The sequence below is a fragment of the Homo sapiens genome, chromosome 8 (assembly GCF_000001405.40).
Source record: "Homo sapiens chromosome 8, GRCh38.p14 Primary Assembly".
NCBI lineage: Eukaryota > Metazoa > Chordata > Mammalia > Primates > Hominidae > Homo > Homo sapiens.
The window spans coordinates 40,903,503-40,928,701 of NC_000008.11; the positions used below are offsets into that span (position 1 = coordinate 40,903,503).

The 25,199-nt window shown below is 43.0% G+C and overlaps 1 long non-coding RNA gene across 1 annotated transcript; it reads left to right on the top strand.

Annotated features, from left to right (window-relative positions):
- Positions 1-536: 536 nt before the first annotated feature.
- LOC105379389 (uncharacterized) lies at positions 537-25,199 on the top strand. The gene is made up of 3 exons (XR_949703.3): positions 537-852; positions 21,997-22,398; positions 24,878-25,199. It is a non-coding gene; the product is annotated as an uncharacterized LOC105379389 (long non-coding RNA).

Consider the following 25,199-nt stretch of genomic DNA (forward strand, 5'->3'; position numbering starts at 1 on the left):
CTCCAGCCTGGGCAACAGAGTGAGACTCTGTCTCAATCAATCAATTAATCAATAGATTTGCCCCAAATATTTGTGTAGCACTGACTTTCCAGAAACACACTCCGTATTGAAGGAGGCTGGGGTTTAAGCATCCCAAGCCTAAAGCCCCTAGTTTGCCCTCAGCCTGGCTTCCGGAGATGGGTGAGATCTGTCTCCATCCTATCTGCCTAGCCTTATTCTACTCTCATCTTCATGTAACCCAATTTAATCACAGCCTTCCCATGAATCTGCACATTCTGACCTCCTGACCTTCGCATAGCTGCCTCAGTTTCTCCCTCCCACCTTGCCTTCTCGTGTGAGATTGCAGTCATCCTTGAAGGCCCAGCCCACATCTCCCCTTCCCTCACTACTCCTGTCTGCCCAGCCCTTTCAATTGTACCCTGCACCACAGAGTTTAAAATGAATCACATTCTTGTTTGTATTTTCATTATTGTTTCCATAGGAACCACCCCCACCCCCCACCCCTGCAATCCACAATGATGCCCACAGCAGTTAGAATTCTCCTAGACAAACATGTATAGAAATCCCAGCACTGGAGAGTTGATGAGAAAGTGGGCAGATCGGCTCTATTCACAGCTGGGGGAAACTGACCACTTTAACAAAAGGAAGAATGCTCAGGTAACATCTAGCCCAAAGGTCGCTCAGGAATGTTCAAAGCACTCAGGAGAGAGTGAAGTATCCCATCTTTGGGACACACAAGTCCCACTCAGCATCCATTGAAAGCGCAGCACCAAAAGCATTGAGATGGTGGCAGGACCTCATTTTCCCTCTTCTCTATTCCCTTACTCTTTCTCCAGCACAGAAGAAGCCTTGGTAAGTAGGGCCTGGGCAGTTGTGCTTTAGCAAAGACTGCATGTACATTACCCAGGAAAAGTATTAATGACAAACACAAGCAAGGAGACACTGGTCTGCCGTATTTGGAGGAAGCACTTTCTATCTCAGTGTTGCAGGGCAGGTATATTTGCCCCCTTTGAAATAAACGAGGAGTCCTGGGGGTGGGTGAGGTTGGGGTAGAAAAACTGAAGGGAGGTGAGAAATGAATTGAAGTGGAAGGCAAGAAAGGGAAGGAACTCCTGGTTGCTCAACAGAAGTGGTTACTGTTAAGATGGAACGAGTTGGTCACTGTTAAGATGGACAGGTGATTGATGGAAAAAGCAAACCAACATTTTTGAAGACTCCTCTGTACTCCTCATGTTCAGGACGGGCTCATACTAGAAGTCTTCTCTGACCAGTGATGAGCTGTACCTCTTTCCAATCACTGCAGCACAGCCAACTGGTTACATTATAAGGTGACTGGGGAAAATAATTGATATTATGGTGATACCCAAAATTATTAAGGAAAAATGAGATTATTCTAATGTATAGTCACTTCAAGACAGCATCACGTGTTTAGAAAAGACAGATCTCAAGAATAACTCTTTCTACAAGAGTTTACTATACAATAGTTGCCTTCAATAGAAGGTAGCTACAATAGAAACTACCTTAATCATCTATTTACTTCAAAGTTTAAAAAATACAAAATGCTTAGGACAAATACCTAATGCATGAAGGGCTTAAAACCTAGATGACAGGTTGATAGGTGCAGCAAACCACCATGGCACATGTGTACCTATGTAACAAACCTGCACATTCTGCACATGTATCCCAGAACTTAAAGTAAAATTAAAAAAAAATACAAAATGTTGTGAAGTGGAAATTAACTACACATCCCAGTCACGGGCTTTGGTTACCTAAATGTTTAGTTTGGTTTAGACTTAGAGAAAAACACTTTTATTCCTCCCATTCAGATCTGCTTAGAAGCACTCCCCAGCATCTGAACCATCTCTTCCAAGCTATTCCCCCAGAAGACAGGAAGACTGGGCGGTTTCCTCTGTAACAGCTCCCAGAACTGCAGCTTCCAGTGGTTTCTCCCCACCATTGCCCCTCTTGGTTTGCTGGTAGAGTGCTGAGCCTTTTATTCTATGTCTTTGCCAAAGGTTTTGAACAACCTTTCTCAAACAGGAGCTAATAAGATTCTGATAGGTTCTCCCCATTTCCCTCTCTCCACCAAACAAAAAACAAAACCTCTTTTCTTCTTCTTAATGAGAGTTGCTTCTATTTCAACAGCTAGTTTATAAGAAATGAGGTCTCACTGTGACGCCCAGGCTGGACCTCTCAGCTCAAGCGATCCTCCCATCTCATTAGCTCCCAAGTAGCTTGGACTATAGGTGCAGGCCACCACATGGCTATTTTTTAAAATTTTTTGTAGAGATGGGCTCTTGCTATGTTGACCAGGGTAGACTTGAACTCTTGGGCTCAGGGGATCTGCACACCTTGGTCTCCCAAAGTGCTGGGGTTATAGGTCTGAGCCACAAACACTTTTTTTTTTTACTTCACTTTATCATCATAAAAAGGGGGAGGAGGGGCTGTTTTAAACAAGGTCTCTTCCCACGTGTAAAAAGTAGGGAATGCCCAATTATGACCAACTGCCCTGGAGACCAGGGCAGGGGGGCGGGTTTTAAGCTGCAGCAGATGACAGATGGGCTGGCTATAAAGAGGCGATCTTGGATCCTAGACTGGAAGGCAGTGCCAGCCCCTCCGCAAATCTTAGGAAACAGGAAGACCCTCTCCTCCTGTTGGAATGCTGTCAAAGAGTGTTCCTGCAGGCGAGGCTTCCATGTCCCCTGGAGATACCCTCTCATCTTTCTTCCCTTCCTTATACTTCCTACTTTCCTTTTCAATTTCCCACATTAGACCCTCATGACAGATATTCCTAAAGGTAACTTCTTTCTCTTACAAATCAGTCTATGCTGATTTTTGAGCCAGTGAGAAGAAAGGGGACATGAAAATCTCATCTCTAGTCTTACTGGAGGGAATGCATCTCCACCTCTTCACCTAGATTTCCTAGGGGGGAAAAACAGAACAGCAAATACTTAATTTTTTTTAAAGATTTTAGGCTAAAAGTTATTTATGAGACCAGTATGACATACAGTCATAGCATAATGACTACAGAACACATTACTGATTTTTCTCAGGAGTTGGGTTGTGGGGGATTATTCTCAGGTAACCTCAGCAAATGACTCCTTAGTGCTGAAATTCATTAAAATTACTCCCATTTCTAATCAGGGTGGGTTGTCTGAGGGGGGCCAAGGATCAAGAAAGTGACAGATGGGAAAGAAAAGAATGACGGTGCCAACATTTCGGCTTAAATCCTCTTAACATCAGTTTTACAAAATGTCTGAGTGACGGAGTTTCAGAATCCAACTCTGCCTTTTAGCTATTAAAGAACTGTTAAGAAGGGCTTAGACTTCCAGAGGAAAGCTTTGAAATTGACACAAGCTCCTTAAAAAAGTCTCCACAGCCCAAGATACTGAAGGGCTGGAAAAGGACAGAGCTGCCAACATATTTAGAGCCACTGCTGTGCTTAGGGCTGGCCTTGAATCTTTTTTCCAACTTCTGAGGCACTGCTAGGCTTCTGTGATTTACAGGGTCTAGGAACCAGTGTTCTCTTCATGATTCTTCCTCCTTGGTGCCACTGAGGGTGGCATTTGTGTAAAGAAATATGGTTCTTCTGCCCTCGTAGTGGGCATAGTGGAATGGCCTGGTCTGCAGGAATAAGAGCACAAATGTGGATTCATGAGTGGAAGTTTTAATAAAGTTTATAGTCAGTTCCACAGGAAGTCCTAGCTGGAATTCACCATCCCGACTGGTTAAGAAAATATTTTCTGAGGTTATGAAGTAATCACAGATCTTCTTGGAGACTGGGCTTGGAAAATATGTCTGGACTCCTCATCCTGATGCTGAAGGTCTTGAGTGGTAGATAAACAAAAGTTCGTCAGAGTCCTGGCCAATAGAACATTCTGAGTCCCAAGAAGATCAGCAAAAAGTGTTTTTCAAGAGGTATGAGGGGCTGGGCCTGGTGGCTCATGCCTGTAATCCCAGCACTTTGGGAGACCAACGCAGACAGATTACCTGAGGTCAGGAGTTTGCGACCAGCCTGACCAACATGGTGAAACCCTGTGTCTACTAAAAATACAAAAATTAGCCGGGCATGGTGGTTGGCACCTATAATCCCAGCTACTTGGGAGGCTGAGGCAGGAGAATCATTTGAACCTGGGAGAGGAAAGTTGCAGTGAGCCAAGATTGTGCCACTGCACTCCAGCCTGGGCAATAGAGTGGCATGCAGTCTCAAAAAAAAAAAAAAAAAAAAAAAAAGGGACACATGAGGATGTAAGTGGGAGGATCTAAGCAAGCAGCTTCTTGATGTGACCAGAGCACAGGGGCTGGTGCACACTAGGGCTCCATAAATATTAATATTTATTGAAGAATGAATGAATGAATGAAAGAATTGTATCATTGACTTAAACCTTGGCCCATGTAGCATGACCTTTCATTTCCAAGTATGTTCCCAGGAAGGATTTTCTTTCTTGACTTCACATTTAAAGACTAGGAATGTCTCCTAAACATCACATCTTTGTAAGTTTCTATACACACAAGCAACTCTACACAAAGCTACCCTCAACTTTTCCAACTTATCTCCTCAAACATCTCCACCAAATGTTGAAGGGTCCCTAACCTAGCCTGCAACTACCTCAGGATGGTGGGATATATGTCATTAACAGAAGACCTGCTTAATGTTTTAACTTGAGTTGCTCTGGGAGATGTACTTCACCTCATCGCTGCTTGTTTATTTCTGATCACTGCTAAGGCCACTGGTGTTTATGAGAGATTAGTGAAGAGTTCTAGTTTTAGAGAAGAGTTCTGAGATATATGAGTGTGCTTGCATTCATCGTCTCAAACTACCGTTACAAAATACCACAGACCAAGTGCAGACTGAGTGGCTTAAACAAAGGAAACTTATTTTTGCACAGCTCTCGAGGCTGAAAGTCCTAGATCAAAGTCTCTCAGGGTCAGGCTCTGTTGAGGGCTCTTTTCCCAGCTCACACATGGCAGTTTTCTGGCTGTGTCCTCACATGGAGGGAGGAGAGGAAGCTCTTTGGTGTCTCTTCTTATGAGGACACTAATCTCGTTGATTAGTTGGTGTTTCTTCATATTAGGACACTAATCCTGTGGAATCAGGGTGGGCCCTATCCTTATGGCTTCGTTTAACCTTAACCACTTCCATAAAGGCCCTATTTCCAAATATAGTCACGTGGACAGGTGAGATAGGGCTTCCAACATAAATATGGGTAGGGGAGGGATACAATTTACTCCATGGGAGTGTTCCCTCACCTCATTAAAATAGTTTGAGTATAGGCCAGGCATGGTGGCTCATGCCTGTAATCCCAGCACTTTGGGAGGCTGAGGTGGGCAGATCGCCTGAGGCCAGGAGTTCGAGACCAGCCTAGCCAACATGGAGAAACCCTATCTCTACTAAAAATACAAAATTAGCCTGGCGTGGTGGCACATGCTTGTAATCCCAGCTACTTGGGTGACTGAGGCAGGATAATTGCTTGAACCTGGGAGGCGGAGGTTGCAGTGAGCAGAGATTGTGCCCTTGGACTCCAGCCTGGGCAACAAGAGTGAAACTCCATCTCAAAAAAAAAATTATATATGTAATTCTCCATGGAGATGAAAAAACGGAAAGGATGAGATTCCAACATCTTTTACCTTCCAAATTGTGATTGTTCGTGGTTTCCGTAAACTGCCTTTTCTTTCCTTTTATTTTGCCTCTCCTTTTTCTTGTCACTGTTGTTGCCATTAAGTTCACTAATTTTCTTTATTTTTTTTGAGATGGGAGTCTCGCTCTGTCACCCAGGCTGGAGTGCAGTGGCGCGATCTCGGCTCACTGCAAGCTCTGCCTCCTGGGTTCACACCATTCTCCTGCCTCAGCCTCCCGAGTGGGACTACAGGAGCCCGCCGCCACGCCCGGCTAATGTTTTGTTTTGTTTTGTTTTGTTTTGTTTTGTTGTTTTGTTTTTGTATTTTTAGTAGAGACGGGGCTTCACCATGTTCGTCAGGACGGTCTCAAACTCCTGAACTTGTGATCCGCCCGCCTCGGCCTCTTAAAGTGCTGGGATTACAGGCGTGAGCCACCGCGCCGGCCCGAGTTCACTAATTTTCAACGTTTGAACATTAAAAACAAAGCATGGTACATAAGCCTGACTGTAGGTTACAATAGATGGTATCCTACACTATTGGCAGCCTCCCCTCCTGCCTGCTATATTCCTGCCTTTCAGAGCCTCCAACTGTATCTTCAGTCTTTAGAGCCCCCTCCAGAATCCCGGTCTGCACACTTCTCCTTAAATTCCTCCTCCTGTTCCTGGCATGCTCTGTCATTCCAAGTCCTACAGCCTGTTCCCCCTTGTTGCATGAACAGACACACTCTGAAGGCAGAGAGATCTCTTCCACTGGGAGATCTCTGGAGGAGGGTCTTATACAAAGTGGTGCTCAATAAATGCTTCAAGGAAGAATGACACTTCTAACATAATTGCCGTTTTCGTAGCATAGCAGGATGGAAGAAAAGACTAGTGTACCGATATTTGGCTCATTCTTTTTCATCTGGCAAGTGCTGGATCAGGAGTCAGCAGATCTGGCGTTAATTCTCACATATGTCCTTTTCTACCCAGAGCTTCTCTAAGCTTCAGCTTCCATGACTTTAAAAGGTAATCAGCACCTATCTTACAACACTATTAAGGAGGGTTACTACATTAGATAATGTAGCTAAATTCATCAACACAGTGCTAGACATACCATAATTCTCAATAAATGTATTTTGAATTTGAATAATGTTACATGAGAGTAATGCATTACTTCCTGTTAATTTATATATGGAAGAGTGCCAAACCATTCACTGCTTTTCAGGTGAACTCTCCTTCACTGAAGTACATTACTACGAAGTATATTATAGTTTCTTCTTTATGAATTTTAAAATAATTCCTCTTAAGACTGTTACTTGAAAGGACTTTTGGAGGCCAAAGATGATAGTGATTTTTTATTTGTTAGGTATTACTTAGTGAAAAAATTATCAATCCTTTTAAACATGAACATTAATTCAAAAGAGACCATTCGGAAACGAGGTATGGGGGACATTAAACAATAAATACAACTCAGTTCTTTTAACACTTATCGAACTCATGTTAATCTGACCTGATTTTATTCTCCCAAATATTAGAGTAGAAAATTCTTTCAAATGAGTTTATAAATTACTTTTCTACTCAAGAATCTTTAAGATCTGGATACTGACTTGAGCATTATAGGGACATGTGTCAGTTTAGCACAAATAGTTTTTAAAATACTATGTAATAGAAACTATTTAATACAACTAGTGTTTTGAAGAAAACTCCTTAAGAATGCATTAATAAACAAGAATGCCTTGAAAACTTTTATTAATAATCAAAATAAAATAAAAATAAATATACTACAAATTAGAGACAACAAAATACGCCTAGAGTAAATTAATGTTTAATTAAAATAACACCAGAAATTAATAAATTTGGAAACTAAAACTGGAAGAATGAATTCCTAAATTATGACGCTTTGACTAAAGCAGACACTGAAATTAATAAATTGCTAACTCACCCAATCAAGTAAAAGAGAGAAGTACAATTATTCAACATAAGAGAAAATAAAATGGAAATAACCTCAAATATGTGATGTTTTAAAATATGCATACATTGTGGAATGGCTAAATTGAACTAATCAGCATATGCATTCCCTCATGCAAGCATTTTTTTTTTGTCATGAGAACACTTATTTACCTACTCTCCTAGTGATTTTCAAGTATTCAATACATCGTTATTAACTATAGTTACCATGTTGTACACTAGATCTCTTGAACTTCTTCCTCCTAACCGAAATTTTGTATACGTTGACCAACATTTCTCCAACCACCAACCAGCAATTCTTCTTGATAAAAATTTTTAATGATATAGGAATAAAAGGTTACTTAATAGAAAATGTAGAACTCACATATGTATATTTGTGTATATCCATGTATAGAGATCACCACAAAAGCCAGATAAATGTAGAAATATAGCAACTATTCTCATTCACATCAGAAACAAAATAGGTATATCTATTGCAACCGTTTTTACTTAACATTGTTCTGGAGACATCAGCCTATATAATTATATGAAAGAAAAAAGAGGTATGGATTTGGGGAGAAAAGAAGTACAGCTATTATTATCTGCACATAATATTATTGTATACTTGGAAAGCATAAGAGAATAGTTACAAGAGTACAAATAAGAAAATTGATAAAGATGACTGGGTATGTAATTAATATATCAAACTAAATACTTTTCATATAAACAAAAATAGAAATTGTTTGGGAGATATAATGAAAGTATAGTAACAATAAAGTAAAATACCTAGAAAATATATTAAAAATGTGTAACATCTATGTAATTAAAACTTCAAAATGCAATTGACAGACATAAAAGAACAATTTAATGAATAAAATGAGTGCCATGTGCTTGAAGAGAAATATGCAGCATCATAAAGGTGTCAATTATCCCTAAATTCATCTTAAAAGTAATGTAACCCACAGTGTTTGGGGAGGAAGAGGGACAAAGTGACAAACTGATTTTATTTTTCATAATAAACAAATAAGCAAGAAGAGTGAGAAATTTTTTTTAAGTAGAACCCCAACAACTATTAAAATACGTTGTAAACTATAGGAGTTAAAATAACGTAGTGTTTCTTGACTAAACAGACCAATTAATGGCTTCAAATAGAAAGGGCAGAAGTAGACGCAAATTCATGTAATAAAGATAGCATTTCAAATGAGTAAACGTGGATTGTTTTATAAATAATATTGGAACAGCTGTTTAAACACCTGCAAAAATAAAGCTATATTCTTTAGTGCATATTTTACATAAAATAAAGTTTAGATATATTAAAAGTTGAAATACAATAATGGAACTATTAAAAGTACTCAAAGTATACCGTAAGAAGATTTCATATTATAGTTTTTAAAGTGTCTAAGTATGACACAAAATCCAAACACAAATAAAGAGAAAGGTCCACATATTTGATCACAACAATAAAAAAAGCTTCTGCAAAGTTAATGGGGTGTGGGATCAGAAGACAAGTAACAAAAGGGATAAAATATTTACGCGTTATTGTGGCCTTGTAGTATAGTTTGAAGTCAGGTAGCGTGATGCCTCCAGCTTTGTTCTTTTGGTTTAGGATTGACTTGGCGATGTGGGCTCTTCTTTGGTTCCATATGAACTTTAGCTTTTTCCAATTCTGTGAAGAAAGTCATTGGTAGCTTGATGGGGATGGCATTGAATCTATAAATTACCTGGGGCAGTATGGCCATTTTCACGATATTGATTCTTCCTACCCATGAACATGGAATTTTCTTCCATTTGTTTGTATCCTCTTTTATTTCATTGAGCAGTGGTTTGTAGTTCTCTTTGAAGAGGTCCTTCACATCCCTTGTAAGTTGGATTCCTAGGTATTTTATTCTCTTTGAAGCAATTGTGAATGGGAGTTCGCTCATGATTTGGCTCTCTGTCTGTTATTAGTGTATAAGAAAGCTTGTAATTTTTGTACATTGATTTTGTATCCTGAGACTTTGCTGAAGTTGCTTATCAGCTTAAGGAGATTTGTGGAAGTCACTGTGGCGATTCCTCAGGGATCTAGAACTGGAAATACCATTTGACCCAGCCATCCCATTACTGGGTATATACCCAAAGGATTATAAATCATGCTGCTATAAAGACACATGCACACGTATGTTTATAGTAGCACTATTCACAATAGCAAAGACTTGGAACCAACCTAAATGTCCAACAACGATAGACTGGATTAAGAAAATGTGGCACATATACACCATGGAATAATATGCAGCCATAAAAAATGATGAGTTCATGTCCTCTGTAGGGACATGGATGAAACTGGAAACCGTCATTCTCAGCAAACTATCTCAAGGACAAAAAACCAAACACTGCATGTTCTCACTCATAGGTGGGAATTGAACAATGAGAACACATGGACACAGGAAGGGGAACATCACACACTGGGGACTGTTGTGGGGTGGGGGGAGGGGGGAGGGATAGCATTAGGAGATATACCCAATGCTAAATGACGAGTTAATGGGTGCAGCACACCAACATGGCACATGTATACATATGTAACAAACCTGCACGTTGTGCACATGTACCCTAAAACTTAAAGTATAATAATAATAGAATAAAAATAAAAATAAAATATTTACACTTAATAGAGCAGATAAACAGCTGATTTCTATGATTTATGAAGATTTCTTATAAATCAGTAAGGGAAAAGACCAGTAACCAGCAGGAAAATGAGCAAAAGAAACAGCATATTTTTTCCTGTGAAAACTCTTAAACATATAAAAAAATACTCAACTCCAAATGCAGATTTTAAAAAAATACAGTCAGATTTTTTCACCCATCACAATTTCACTTAGCCTAAACATTTAAAAAGATAAACAGCTTGATAATGCTGTATGTTGGCTGTAGTGTGGGCAAACAGGCCCTCCATATTTTGCTAGTGGTATAGAAAGTTGGCAATATCGAAAAAATGTAAGACATGTCCCCTTTGTCCCCATGATTTCATTTCTAGGAATTTATATTACAGTTATATTCCCACATGTGTGAAATGATGTATGTACAAAGATATTTATCACAGCATTGTTTGAAATAGCAAAAAAGAGGACATGACCCAAATGTATTAAATAAATTATAGTACTTCCAGACAATGCAAGACTATGCAGCCATTTAAGAAGAAAAGAAGCCATTCAGTAGAGCCTGATATGTCAGCAGTCCCTAAGGTGCATTGCTAAATAATAAAAGCAAGGTGAAGAATGCCATGAATAGAGTGTTAACAGCTGTGTAAGAACAGAAAAAGAAAGAGCAGTGCGCATTTGCAAATGTGCATGTGCATGCCTGGAATACCTTGGAAGGGCACGTGAGGCTCATCAGCAGTGGGTGAGACCCACCAGGAAGGGGTGCTGCCCAGTTGGAGCCAGGGTGAGATCCAGATGCTTTCCTAAGTCTAGAGCTTTTGTAACTTTCTGATTTTGTATCATCTGTACATATTGTTTTAAAGAACAAAACACTGGGCACAGTGGCTCACGCCTGTAATCCCATCACTTTGGGAGGCTGAGGGAGGAGGATCACTCGAGTCCAGGAGTTCGAGAGCAGCCTGGGCAAGATGGTGAGATCCCCATCTCTACAAAAAAAAATATAAAATTTAGTTGGTTATGGTGGTGCATGCCTGTGGTCCCAGCTACTCAGGAGGCTGAGGTGGGAAAATTGCTTGTGCCTGAGAGGTGGAGGCTGCAATGAGCCAAGATCGCACCACTGCACTCCAGCCTGGGTGAACCTGTCTCAAAAATAAATAAATAAATAAAATAACGTTTAAAGTCCTTGACTTTATTCTTTTCTTTAACGAGACCTTACTGTTTACATCTAATCAAAAAAAGAGTGTTCAACATAGGGAGAAAGTAAGGTTTTGAAGTCAAATACTATTAAAGAGGAATGGTCATAAACTAGGAAAGCAAATGTTCTCCACCTTTTCCGTTTTCTCATCCGCACATCCACACAACTACTCAAAAATAATATTTACTGAAAAAGACATGATTTTAATCTTTTTATGGCTGAATAGTATTCTGCTGTGTATACATACTACATTTCCTTTATCCAATCATCCTTTGATGAATGCTTAGGTCAGTTCCCTGACTTTGCTGTTGTGAATAGTGCTGCAATAAACCTGGAAGTGCAGGTATCCCTTTGATACAATGACTTCTTTTCCTTTGGGTCGATACCCAGTAGTGGGATTGCTGGGTCGAATGGTAGTTCTATTTTCAGTTCCTTGAGAAATCTCCATACTGTTTTCAATGGAGGTTGGGCTAATTTACATTCCCACCAACAGTGTATAAGCATTCCCTTTTCTCCACTTGCTCACCAAAGTCTGTTATTTTTTGTCTTTTTAGTAATAGCCATTCTGACTGGTTGCCTTTTGCAGTAGCACGAATGTAACTGGAGGCCATTATCTTAAGTAAAACAGCTCAGAAACAGAAAGTCAAATACCATATGTTCTCACTAATGAGAAGTAGCTAAATGATGGGTACACATGGGCATAGAGTGTGGAATAACAGACACTGGAGATGAGAAAGGGTAGGGTGGTGAGGGGGACGTGGAGATGGGAAGTTACCTAATAGGTACAATGTGCATTATTCGGGTGACGGTTACCCTGAAAGCCCAGACTTCACAGCTAGTCAATATGTCCATGTATTCGTAACCCTTAAACTTATACAAATAAAAAAATATTTAATGGGTTTTATGCACAACAACTATATCTCTGTGTGCATAGGGAGGTCACCCCTACTCTTCCAGCCTCAGTTCCTGCACTTTTATAATGAGATCTTTGGAGCAGATATTCTCCAATGTCCCTTTTAGCTCCAGAATTCTATAAAACATCACTTTGATCTTTCCCTAAGGTCACTTTATTAACTTACTTCAACATTAGCCCACAAATTGGGGTTTACCAGCTGCTTAGTATTGCTTGAAGCTTCCTCTTCATTTAAATAAAATGGTTCCCTTACCAACCTTTCTCTTAAAGCCAAGTTTATGATACAAACATATTCAATTTATGTGTTCCTTTTTTAGTTCCCAAAGCTTGTATTTATATACACCCCAATTTAAACCATTTTCTGTTCTCTAAAAGACAGTATTCTTTCTTGTTCAAACTATGCCTAACCAAATATGGTAATCTTTATGGCTAAGCTGGAGGTATAATGTGTTTTCCTCTCATAGGATTTTTTAAAAGACAAGACAGTGCTCAGGAAAGAACGTTCCATTTGCTGTTAACTTCAGAGATTTGCAGAAGAGTCCTCTGCCCTGCTTTTCTGAAAGGCACCTGGGGTTCAGGACAAGCTTCTCTTGTAGACCCGGGTGCATTGCTTGCCAGAGAGATCTCTGAAAGGTGGTTCTGCTTTCCAGGGAACTATTTAGCCAATATGCATTACCCAGCTCCTCAACCTTTTTATGATTCCTGCCTGATGCTGCCTTTTGGTGATTTCTGGTAAAGCATCAGCACCTTATCATCTGCTTTAGTGACCAGCTTGGGAGAGTAACGTTAAGTCACGACCAGAATATGTCTTGGTGGAGCATGAACAAAGCATAGATTTTTTGTGGGGGAAAAAAGGTGTTACTTAGTTTCAAATTGCCATTCAATGATTTGTTAGTAGATTTAGTGACATTGTATACATTTCTCAGGCTGTTAGACTCTCTATTTTTTAATCCATAAAATAAGAGTAATAATAGCTACCTTACAAGGTTTTTGTGAAGATTATAAGAAACACATAAAATGTATAATATATATAATAATATAACATGAAACATTACGTATAGTATGTATCATAAGTTATCTTTTTTATTGTTTGTTTTTGTTTTTATTTTTTGAGATAGAGTCTCACTCTGTGGCCCAGGCTGGAGTGCAGTGGCACGATCTTGGCTCACTGCAACCTCCATCTCCCAGGTTCAAGCGATTCTCCTGCCTCAGCCTCCTGAGTAGCTGGGACTGCAGGTGCCCGCCACCGCACCCAGCTAATTTTTGTATTTATAGTAGAGACGGGGTTTCACCATGTTGGCCAGGCTGGTCTCAAGCTCCTGACCTCAAGTAATCCACCCACCTCGACCTCCCAAAGTGCTGAGATTACAGGCATGAGCCACCGTGCCGGGCCAATATGTATCATAAGTTATCTATTACATAATATATATTAGTGTCGGGACTAAAATCACAAGATTCTACACTTGACCACTCTGCACCTCTGTTCCCATTCAGTAAAATAGGCATTGTAATAGGTCCTAACTTAACAGTGTTATTGGAAGGGTTAAGTGAGTGAACACATATAAAGCATTTACATACTAGCTGGCAAAAAGCTCCACAAATATTGTCGCCATATGGCAAGGTCCCCTTTATGACATCAGCCCTCGATTCATGATGGGCATTGTGTCATTCATTTCCTCAGCGATGATCAAGAATCACAGATGCAGATGTCTGGTGGCATTTCAGGGGTGCTACAGGAATGGAGCCCCTGCAATATGCCGAGAAGAAACAACGTGTAGCCTGCAAGATCCTCATCTTTCAGAGAGAGCAACAGGAGCGTGGTCTCTTCCTGCTCTCTCAGCTGAGATGGTCTCAATGCCTGGCCTCTTATTTTCAAAATATGGTGTGGGCCTCCTTTAGAGAAGAGGAGGTACTGATGGTTATTGAACCAAACTGGGGCTCACTGGCCTTGTGCAGCAAAGCCAAACACTGATGCTGGCCCTGCAGGGAGAGAAAGCGAGGCATTTATTACAGGGCAGCAAGCAAGGAGGATCGGGCAGCTCATGCTTAAGACTAGAGCTCTCAGATGGGTTACAGGTAAGGGCTTTGAAAGGCAGGGAGGCAGAGGGTACAGGCAAAGTCCTAAGTCAGTACTTGGAGGCTATACATTGGTTTGACCCAAAAACAGACCTCGAAGCGAGGGCAGGTCATAGGTGGATGCAAAGCTTTTCTGGTTCACAATTGGTTAAGGAATCAAAGTTTTGTCTAAAAATTTGGGATCAGCAGAAAAACAATGTTAGCTCTGGCTCCTGGGTGTGACCTCCTCCAGGCCCCTTAGGAAGAAATTTAGAACGCAGAACAGCGGTCAGAGCTCAGTCCTTAGTTTCTCCTTATCTGAGGTCTGTGTGTCAGCAGATCTATTGAGAAGGGGGTCCCGGTTTGTGAAAAACAACCCAGGGACATATGCTAAGATGTTACCTTCAGTTTCCATAGGGAACCAAACATCTCCTGCCTCCCACGTCCTTGGCTGCTGCCTTAGGCTGCTATTACCTTATTGTTTATCTAGTTGCTGATTTACTTCTCGAGGCTAGCTGGGTGCCTGGAATTTCCCTTGAAGGAACTCTAGATTTTTCTTTATTTCCATGCTTGGGGGACCCCACAGGTCCCTAAGGCGGGGCTTGGGGGGTGGGGGTCCTTGCTCTGTCTCACAATGTAATAGGGTGATGAAGGTGCTGGACTCAGATGGGAAGACACAGGTTCCAGCAGCAAGGCAGATACTTGACTAATGCCTGGCTCTCTGCCTCCTCACCTGTTTAATGACAGTTTATTTTCAGGGTAAATACAAAACACAATTCCCCAACAATCTTACTTTTGGATGTAATTTTCAGATCTTCTCCTGGGAGTGGGACAGGGGAGCAAGAGAAAATAAAAAGAACAGAGAGTGGGGAGGGGCAAAGATGTCAATGAGAGCTTCACAGAGGATCTTTCTTCTGGGCACAAGAAAAGAATCACATCCATCCTGGGGAAACTCCTGTGAAGTTCATTCAAACTGCAGTATTGCCTAATCAGCATCTCTGAAAAAAACACAGTGGAAGGACCCCCAGGCACACATTAGAGTGTCCAGGCTTCATGGCTGCGGCACCTGCACGTTTGAGAGCAAACAGCTCACTCCAAAGCATTGACTCAGCAGCCACAGCAATGGGCATTCTGCTTAAAAAGAAAAACACCTGTTTGTATATAGCAGTCATGCTGTGTCAAGAAGGGGAAGATGAACAGGAGCAGAGGTGGGCAGAGCGTGTTGCCGAGTGGTCCCCAGCACACAGCTCCAGATGTGGCCAGGAGCTCTTTACTGCCTAAAAGTTTTAGAGCATTTGGGGAAGGCTTTTCAACTCAATTAGCATTTAATAGTCCTGATGTTCAATCTCAGGGATCAGCTGTGAAGTTACTAAAGCCATTGCCATGAGGCTAGAGTAGCCAGTTGTGTTTGAAATGTCAACGCCTTTCCCCTGACACTACCTTCTCCCTCCTGGCAGTCCCGCCCAACTTGAGGTCCTGATATTTAGTAACATTTCCCAAGGGCAGGTGGTCATCCTTCAGTCTTGAAAGCAGGGCCCTTGAAGAAGCCATGGAGTCAACTCAAGCTTTACTCTGTACCTGGGAAAGCAAGCCAATGTCAGAGAGTCGAGAGCAGGCTGGGGACCTGGGCACCACAAATGGGTGAATCCCAAAACAAGGGAGCGCCTTCTCCCATGAGGTCAGGGGGTTCTAACTGACCTAGTTGTCTAGCTAACGAAATGAGCAAACTCCCAAAAAGCACTGAAAGTAGTTGCCTCTATATGATGGGATTATGGTTGAAATTTGTTTCCTTTTTTTATGTTTTCAGTATTTTCTGAATTCCTTACATTGAGAATAAGTTATTTTATAAACAGAACAAATTGCACATCATTTATATACTAAAACCCACATAATCCTTTTCCAGCTGAACACCTCCCGAGCAGATGGCATCAGAGAGAAGCTGGATGTTTTTCCTCAAATGGATTAAGAAAGCAGAAGCTTCTGCCAGGGGTAACAATGCCACTTGTGGGCACCACTGATTTTTAAAGCACTCCACATTCATTAGCTCATGGAGCCTTCGCAGCATCCCTGGAAGGCAAGATGTTGGTAGGTATTATTCCCATTTCAGAGAGGAGAAACAGGGTCAGAGAGCCACCTCATTCTGTCATCAAAAGGGTCACTACTGAAATCTGGAGCACTCACTTGGAGCTCAAGTTTCCCTGGACCAGAGCTGCATGGCACTAGGACATTTCTCATCTGCAACACACACCCATGCCCACAAACCCTTGTATACATAAGCCCACAGCTTGCATGCGCCCAGCCATCTGAGTCTGGGACTTTCGTAGGAGTCAAAATGGAATTGTGCAACTCCAACCATGATGCTGGATGCTCCTCTCTGCCTCACCTTGTTTTCCTTCCAAGGTGGGGAAAGTGTGGTGGTCAGTAGAACTGGGGCTTTCTCATCTTTGGATGGTCAGCGGCAAAGACCCTGGGTGAGCCGCCCGGCCATGAGCTGTTCATTGCATCTGTCACATAACATTTCTATAAGACTGTGTGTCTTATAGAATCAGGAGCTCAGGCTCGTATCTGGACAAATAAGAGAATGCCTCCCCACGATAGCCCTCTTCTCTGTAGGCTGTATCTTTTTCTAATCACTTTGGCAGGTGAAAGTGTTTTTTTCCTCTAAATGAGTCAGATGGGCTGGGAATGTGTAACTTGGAAAAGAAGATGCTCTCATACCTGTACATAAAAAAGACAGACTGCCAGTTACCTCAGCCTTACCACCTGTGCTGGGCACCCGTTCAGAGCTCCTGAATGATTCCATTAGTGGGGAACTCTTAGTTGATAGGTATGAATTAGTTAACTAATAAAACTCTATGCTATGCCAGCCAAAGACTAATTAATAGTGTCTCAAAAGACATGTATTTTGCTCATTTTTAAATTTTTGTGCAGATGGGGTTCTTTTCAACTCTGACCCGAGTTAGAAGTTATTTTTCTCACCTAAATGCTCAGAATATAAATCTCAGCCTCAAGAGAATGTGAGCAACAGATCAGACACAAACAGACCCAAGAAAGAGAAAAAAGGAGAGAGCTAGAAAACCGAATCAAGAGGCAAAAAACACATTTTGCAGAGAGCATTAAGGGCAAACCAGTATTTCAATGTCATTGAAGGTAACATTACTTAAAACAGAGCTATGAGCTACTATAACTACAGGGACTGGAAGTCTCTGTAATTAGTAAATATGTTGCATGCATCACCCCAACATAGAATCACCTGAGATAAGTAGGGGGATGAGATACTAAAGATCAACAGAGCCTGAATTTTGAATGAGGGGAACTCTGAACTAGGCAAGAATGGAGATTATTACACAGGACACAAGGCTTAAAGTCCAGCCATCCTTGTGAAAAAGAACAGAAGGTTAACACTAGAACTTTCGTAAAAATAACTTAGGTTTTTTTCAATTAATCCTTTTGTTATCTTGGTAAAAAGTGGGGAGGAGGCCGGGTGCAGTGGCTCACACCTGTAACCCCAGCACTTTGGGAGGTCGAGGCAGGAGGATCATTTGAGGTCAGGAGTTCAAGACCAGCCTGGCCAACATGGCAAAACCCCGTCTCTACTAAAAATACAAAAAAATTAGCTGGGCGTGGTAGCACGTGCCTGTAATCCCAGCTACTCGGGAGGCTGAAGCAGGAGAATCACTTGAACCAGGGAGACAGAGATTGCAGTGATCCGAGATCGTGCCACTGCACTCCAGCCTGGGTGACAGAGCAAGACTTAGTCTCGAAAAAAACAGTGAGGAGGAACAACTTTAGTAATTGTTATGATCAATATCTGGACTAGGTGTGTCTCATTGGCAACTGCAGATAATGATATCATAAACCATCCACTGAGTATCATAATACGCTGGTCACTGTGCAGGATGCTTTAAAAATATTGAAGTGGATCTTCTCAGCATCATGTGACATAGGCATGATGACTTCCAACTTACAGAACGGTACACTGGGGCTCAGAGAGAAGATGTGATTCACTATTGTAAACAAAATACAGAAAAATGCAAAGGAAAAAAATGCCCCTGTAATAATATACCTGCTGTTTTTTGATAACTTTTTCTCTACTTGTATTATCAAATGTCAACAAAATTGAAATGCTTCATCCAGCATCTTGTGCCCTGCTTTTTCACTGTTTCCTTCCATCATTAAATATTCTTTGAGAAAATCTTTTTTTTTTTTTTGAGATGGAGTCTTGTTCTGTTGCCCAGGCTGGAGTGCAGTGGCACGATCTCAGCTCACTGCAACCTCTGCCTCCCAATTTAAAGCAATTCTCCTGCCTCAGCCTCCTGAGTAGCTGGGACTACAGGTGCATGCCACCACCCTCTGCTAATTTTTTCTATTTTTAGTAGAGACGAGGTTTCACCATGTTCGCCAGGATGGTCTTAATCTCCTGACCTCGTGATCCGCCAGCCTTGGCCTCCCAAAGTGCTGGAATTACAGGCGTGAGCCACCGCGCCCAGCCCTGAGAAAACCATTTTTAATGAATAAATTGTTTTCCATTCTTTAGTTGTATCATCAGTTATTTAACCAACCTCCTATGTGGGACATTTGGGTAGCTTCTGATATTTTTTCCATTACACTAATGGCTGAGATGAATATTCTTGAACATAAATCTTGTACATAAATTTGATTATTGCCTAGGATAAAGTCCTAAAACTAAAATTACTGGCTCAAAGTGTATGAACACTTCAAGGCTGTTCATATATAAATTGCCAAATAACCAACCCTCCAGAAAGCTTGCACCAATGTATATCCCCATCAGCAGCAGTGGGTGAGGGGTGAGAACACCCATTTCTCCACATCCTCGGCAGTAAATTTCCACCAATGAGATAAGCAAAAACTTTCCATGTTTATAACTTGCATTTCTTTGGTGGCTGTGGGGTCCACGTCTTTCCTTGTTTGTTGGGCATCAGCTTCGGCTGTATTGTGAATGTCCTATCATATTCTTCCTGTTTGTCCATCACTATGATTGGGGATGCTGGAATTTAGGACCCCAAGGAGGCTCTGCCTGACCTTTTCAGCACTTAGCGTTGTTCCACTTGTGGTGAGGATGAGGCAGAGTCCATTCTCCATGAAAGAAAGACAGTTGCTCCCTCGATACTTAGCAAATGTCATTCCTATCAGCAACTGACCTGAAGCTGGAGGCGGTGGCTAATCCATTGAATCATGGTGGCGCTGTGGGCATTGTCAGGTCCCTAGTTTAGAAACGCACCAGGAGCCAGGGCTGGAACTTTAGGACTAAAGGACTCTGCAAAACGTGTGATGTCTCAGAGACATGACCTTCCTCCTGCCTCCACTTGAGGACTGAATCAGGCTGTGTTGCATGGAGCACAGCTGTGCCTCTGTTCTCCCAGGATGGGGCCTGAAAGCCCAGCATGGTAGCAGAGTCCCTGCAGCTGGTGAAGATACCCTCTGGGTGACCCTGAGGCACAGTAGGAGGAGAGAAGGGTGGCAGTCCTCACACTTCTGGAGAGGGAGCAGTTCTCCTGGAAAGGCTGCAGCAGCCGCTGGAGGAATGAACACAAACCACACAGCCGCCTGCCATGAACTTGATCTCAGTGGTTGGAATTCATCCCTCTTTTCTGCAATTCCTCCACCTTTGCCTTTCCCATGCCTTTCTCCATTGGGAAGCAGTCTGGTCTAGCTTGAAAGTCAGTGGACCAAGTTTGGAGCACCCAGGACAGGTTAAACCCCTTTTAGCTGTTATGAGTGAATGAACAATGACACAATTCCTTTCTAGTATTTTTCATGGTATTTTGAAACAATGTATGCAGCTGCTTCCTTCATACAACCACAGACTCTTATTTTGTTTGTTCGTTTGTTTGTTTGTTTGTTTGTTTGTTTGAGACAGGGTCTCGCTCTGTTGCCCCAGCTGGAATGCAGTGGCACGATCTCGGCTCACTGCAACTTCTGCCTCCCAGTTTCAAGCAATTCCCCTGCCTCAGCCTCCTGAGTAGCTGAGTACAGGTGCACCCCACCACACAACTGCAGACTCTTTGAAAACATTTATGCCACTCCTTGTATGCCTGGCACATAGTAGGATAAATGCTTCTTGAAGGCATGAATGAGCCAAAGCATATTTCCACCACAGAAACCCGTACTTGAGCTCATCTTTGTAGCAGCTCTTCCCTTAGGAGCCATGTAGAATGCAGCAGGACTCTCAACCTTTCCCCATTGCCACTCGTGCTAGACGGAGCATTCCTCATCGTATTGCTCTGCGTGGGCTGGGGGCAGCCAGATTAAGGCTGTGTGACAGCTGCCCCCTCCCCACCCCAGGACTCGCAGAATAGCGAAATGTCTGTCTCCCCAGCTTGATGCTGCTGGGAACAACACTTCCCGGAAAAGGAGAAAGATCTAACTACTGTATACCTGTGTACACCTTTGTTTATGTTATACAGATAATGACAAGCTCTGTTGGAACAAAGTCACCTTAAATTCACACAACTCTTGGTGCCAGACCCTGACAGCAGCTGAAGTGGGTGTTTGCAATAGTCACCTGCCTCAAACCAAAGCCTAGTCTGAATCAGAAATACATTCTGTAGCAAGAAATAGGTTGTTGTCACACTTTAATTGCGTGTTTTGTTGAGGGGGTGGGTAGCGCCCCAGAGCTTAAGTACTCTGGGAAGAAGCCCCACAGCACCCGTGGAGCAGAACAGAGGGCAGGTGGCTGGTGGGTCTCTGGGGCAGGACCTCCAGTTCTCATCCCCACTGGCAGCAAAGCGGCCTCCAATCAGTGGGACAGAGACCTCAGCCTCCCGGTGTGCTCCAGCACTTCTGGACACCCAGAGAGCTCTAGCCTTACTGAATAATTGAATTTCCCATCGGAAAGAGGCTCGGCTCTCTCCTCACACAAACATTAGGGCTTCTGAATATTTCAGGATTTCTGGGTTGGGTAGGGTCACTCGCTTGCCCCTTTGGATAATATAAAGCCAACGTCAGTGGCTTTGGGCACAGCCTTGTACAGAACCGCAAAGACAGAAAGTCTCTGCGTGTGCCCTTCCTCCCCTCTGTGCCATTTTCTGCTGTATTCAATTACCTGTCTGCTTTGTGAGCAGTGATTGAGCACCTGCTGCGAGTGAGGTTCTGTGGTCTCCACCAAGAAGAGCCGGCTCAGGGAGGAGGTTGTGAAAAGACGGGTGCCGGGATTCTTGCCTGGGCCTGCCTGCTGTCAGTAATAGACTGCTCCCTGCTGTGTTGATGGGCCTCCATGAATGCGACCACTCAGGCGCCCTACCCTCGTCTTCCTGGGTCCTTTGTTTTTCAGGATTTAAAAATTTAAAAAAAATTTTTTTGGTAGAGATGGGGGGGTCTCACTATGTTGCCCAGGTGGGTCTTGAACTCTTAGCCTCCAGCAATTCTTCCATCTCAGCCTCCCAGAGCACTAAGATCACAGGCACGAGCCTTTGCGCCCAGCCTGGGGCTTTTGCTATTGGCTTCCACACAGCCCCATTAACACTGGGGAAGCCTGTGGGACCACTTTTTCTTCAGGCTGTTACTGGGGCCCGAGAAAGCTCAGATTAGTGCAAAGCAAGCTCTGTAAATATCTCGCATCACCAAGTTTGATAATTTCACCTTCTCCCTAACTCCATCCATATGCCCCCCAACACATACATTTGTTTTCCCCAGGAAGAGCCTCCAAGACAATGTTGAAAAGTTGGCCCTGCAGCCAGCTTCAGCAGGGCAGTCCTGCATAGCTGCCACTTCTACCGAGGACCACCCTCTCCAGGTTCCACGCAAGCTCATGGTGGCTGCTCCAGCCCAGCAGACCCACTTCCTGGGAGTCATCACCCACTTGCATCTTACTGTGGCTCTTCTTCTGTGTCCCCCAGTCATCTGCCTACACAGAGAGAGCACAGCCACTGAAGCCTGAGACTCACGAAAGACGCCTGTGCTTTGAGGGGCTGCAGGGGGCTGCTTCCCAGGCAAACTTCATTGCAGAATTCTGATGTCCCTGTCTGCTTCCCACTCAGGGAGTTAATGGGACTCCACAACAGGACTCCCAGAAGTTCTCCCTGCCTGCATGTGATGGTAAATTTCATGTGTCACCTTGACTGGGCTGAGGGATGCCCAGGTAGCTGGTAAAATGTTATTTCTGGGTATGTCTGTGAGGGTGTTTCTGAATGAGATTAGCATTTGAATCAGTAGGTTGAGTAAAGAAGATCCAATCCCTTGAGAGCCCTGTAGAACAAAAAGGCAAGGGAAGAGCAGATTACTCTTTCTCTTCTTGAACTGAAAGTTCCATCTTCTCCTCCCTGCCACGTTGGTACTCCTGGTTTCCGGACCTTCAGATTCCAGGACTTACAAAGTCTGCCACCCAATCCAGTTCTCAGGCCTCCAGACTGGACTGGGAAGCACGCCAGCAGCCAACCTGGTTCTCGAATCTTTGGACTCAGACTGAATTACAGCACCAGCTTCCCCAGCTTTTCAGCATGCGGATGACAGATCGCAGGACTATTCAGCCTCCATGATCATATCAGCCAATTCCCACAATACATCCCCTCATATATATATACGTATATATGTATGATATGTACATATACCTCTATGTCAGATATAGAACTCCTATCGGTTCTGTTCCTCTGAAGCACCCTGACTAATGTACTGGCCTCTCTAGTGCTGGTTCCATCAGAGAGGATCATGTAGACTCCCTGTCTCACCTGCTGCAGTCACCTATTTAGAGAACTACCGCTCACATCCCCCTGGAAGACACAGACTAAACCTCCTGGGACAAGGCCTGGAGAGAGGGGCTCTGCACATGGTCAAAGCACATCCCTCTCTCCCTCCCTGCCCCTAAGTTTGGAGAGTAGGACTCAGACCATGACTCAACAGCAAAACTCATGTTGCCTCATCTCTCAAACCACCAAATGATATGAGGTGAGGGATGTATGTGAGCCTGTAAAGATCCCTACTTCCTCTCCAATCGGTTTCGTGGCTCTGCAGATACTTCTTAAACAGTCACCCTCACTTCCTTGGCGTCAGGTACACACACCAGGGACCCCCAAGGCATGGTTTCTTCATTCTTACTACCCTCAGTTCCACTCCAGCTACAGTGTTAGCTGATAGCAGGAAATCTCAGGAATTTCCAAGGGCTCATTTTTGTAGAGACAGGCTGGAGTGCAGTGTGCAATCATAGTTCACTGCAGCCTCCAACTCCTGGACTCAAGCAATCCTCCCACTTAAGCCTCCTGATTAGTTGGGACTACAGGCATGTAGTCCCATTTGCCATGGGACCACATTTATCATGCCTGGCTAATTTTTATTTTTTTTTTGTAAAAATGGAGTCCCCCTATATTGTCCAGGCTGGTTTCCTACTCCTGGTCTCAAACTATCCTCCTTCCTTGGCTTCCCAAAGTTCTGGGATGATAAACATGAGGCACCATGCCTGGCTTTCCAAGGGCTCTTGAATATAGAAAAATCTCTAAGAGTCAAAGTGATTGTATCGGTCCATTTACATGCTGCTGATAAAGAACATACCGGAGACTGAACAATGTACCAAAGAAAGAGGTTTATTGGACTTACAGTTCCACGTGGCTGGGGAGGACTCACAACCTTGGTGGAAAGTGAAAGGCATGTCACACATGGCAGTGGCAAGAGAGAGAATGAGAGCCAAGAGAAACGGGTTTCCCCTTATTAAGCCATTGGATCTCGTGAGACTTATTCACTATCACGAGAACAGCACAGGAGAGACCTACCCCCATAATTGAATCACCTGCCACCGGGTTCCTCCCACGACATGTGGGAATTGTGGGAGTTACAATTCAAGATGAGATTTGGGCGGGGACACAGTCAAACCATACCATTGACTTAGCTCTAGTGATAAAATTATAGGTAGCCCTATTTATGGCTAGAGAACTTATGAAGCATTCCCTTACATCTCACCGCATGGACAGCTGACTCTAGCTGAAACGCCCCCATCTGAAATGCCACACTAGGCTGACTCTAACTGACCAGTTTGGTTCTCTTAAGGGTGCTTTCAATATTGTGAATCTTGCTGTCTCTCCTGGCTAAAGATATAGCCTTAACAATAAAGCTACACCCAGACCATCAGGCTATCACACCCATTGATCTACATCTTCCTCCCTTCTTCCTTCCCACTTTGGAAGCTATAGCAATTCCCACTTTAAAGTGCAATCACCAGCCTCTAAATAATTAATCTTGTGTCAATAGGAGGGCATGCAATCTCCACACACACCTATGGTGGTCGATCTGCCCAGTGAAGGGGAGAAGCAAGTTTTTCCTATGGGGTTTCCTTGGAGCTTCAGAGACTGAAGTTTAGGGAATGATGGGAAATTTAGGGAATGTATGTGTTTGGAAGTGACAAGGGGAGACTTCTTCTGTAGGGGAGGAGGTAGGGAGCCCCTCAGTGCTATTCCTAGGTAGCAAGTTGTAGTAACAATTGGCATCACACCCCATCACCACCATGAAACATTAATATACCAAAATTATCTCCATACCCCTTTCCCATCATTAAAATTTTAATATTTAACTTTGTGTACTGTTCTTACAGAAGAGTGCTGAGTGATAGATTTGAAATTGGACCCCTGACATCATGAATAGCAGAAGTTAATATCTAATGCAGCCAAAATGCTGCACAGCTTCCTGGAACCCTTAGCACCAAAGACCACCATGCACTGAGGAGCCACCTGCAGCTCTCCACACCATGAAGTGCATATGTACCCCTCCTCTCCGCATCTCGCATGACCCAGCCCATGGTGCTAAACTGACTGAGCAAGAAGCATCCAGAGCCTCTTCTGCTGGACGCATGGAACACACTCTCAAGAGATGCAGCCCAAAATAGGACTCTATGGTCAATGAAATGGAATGGGAAA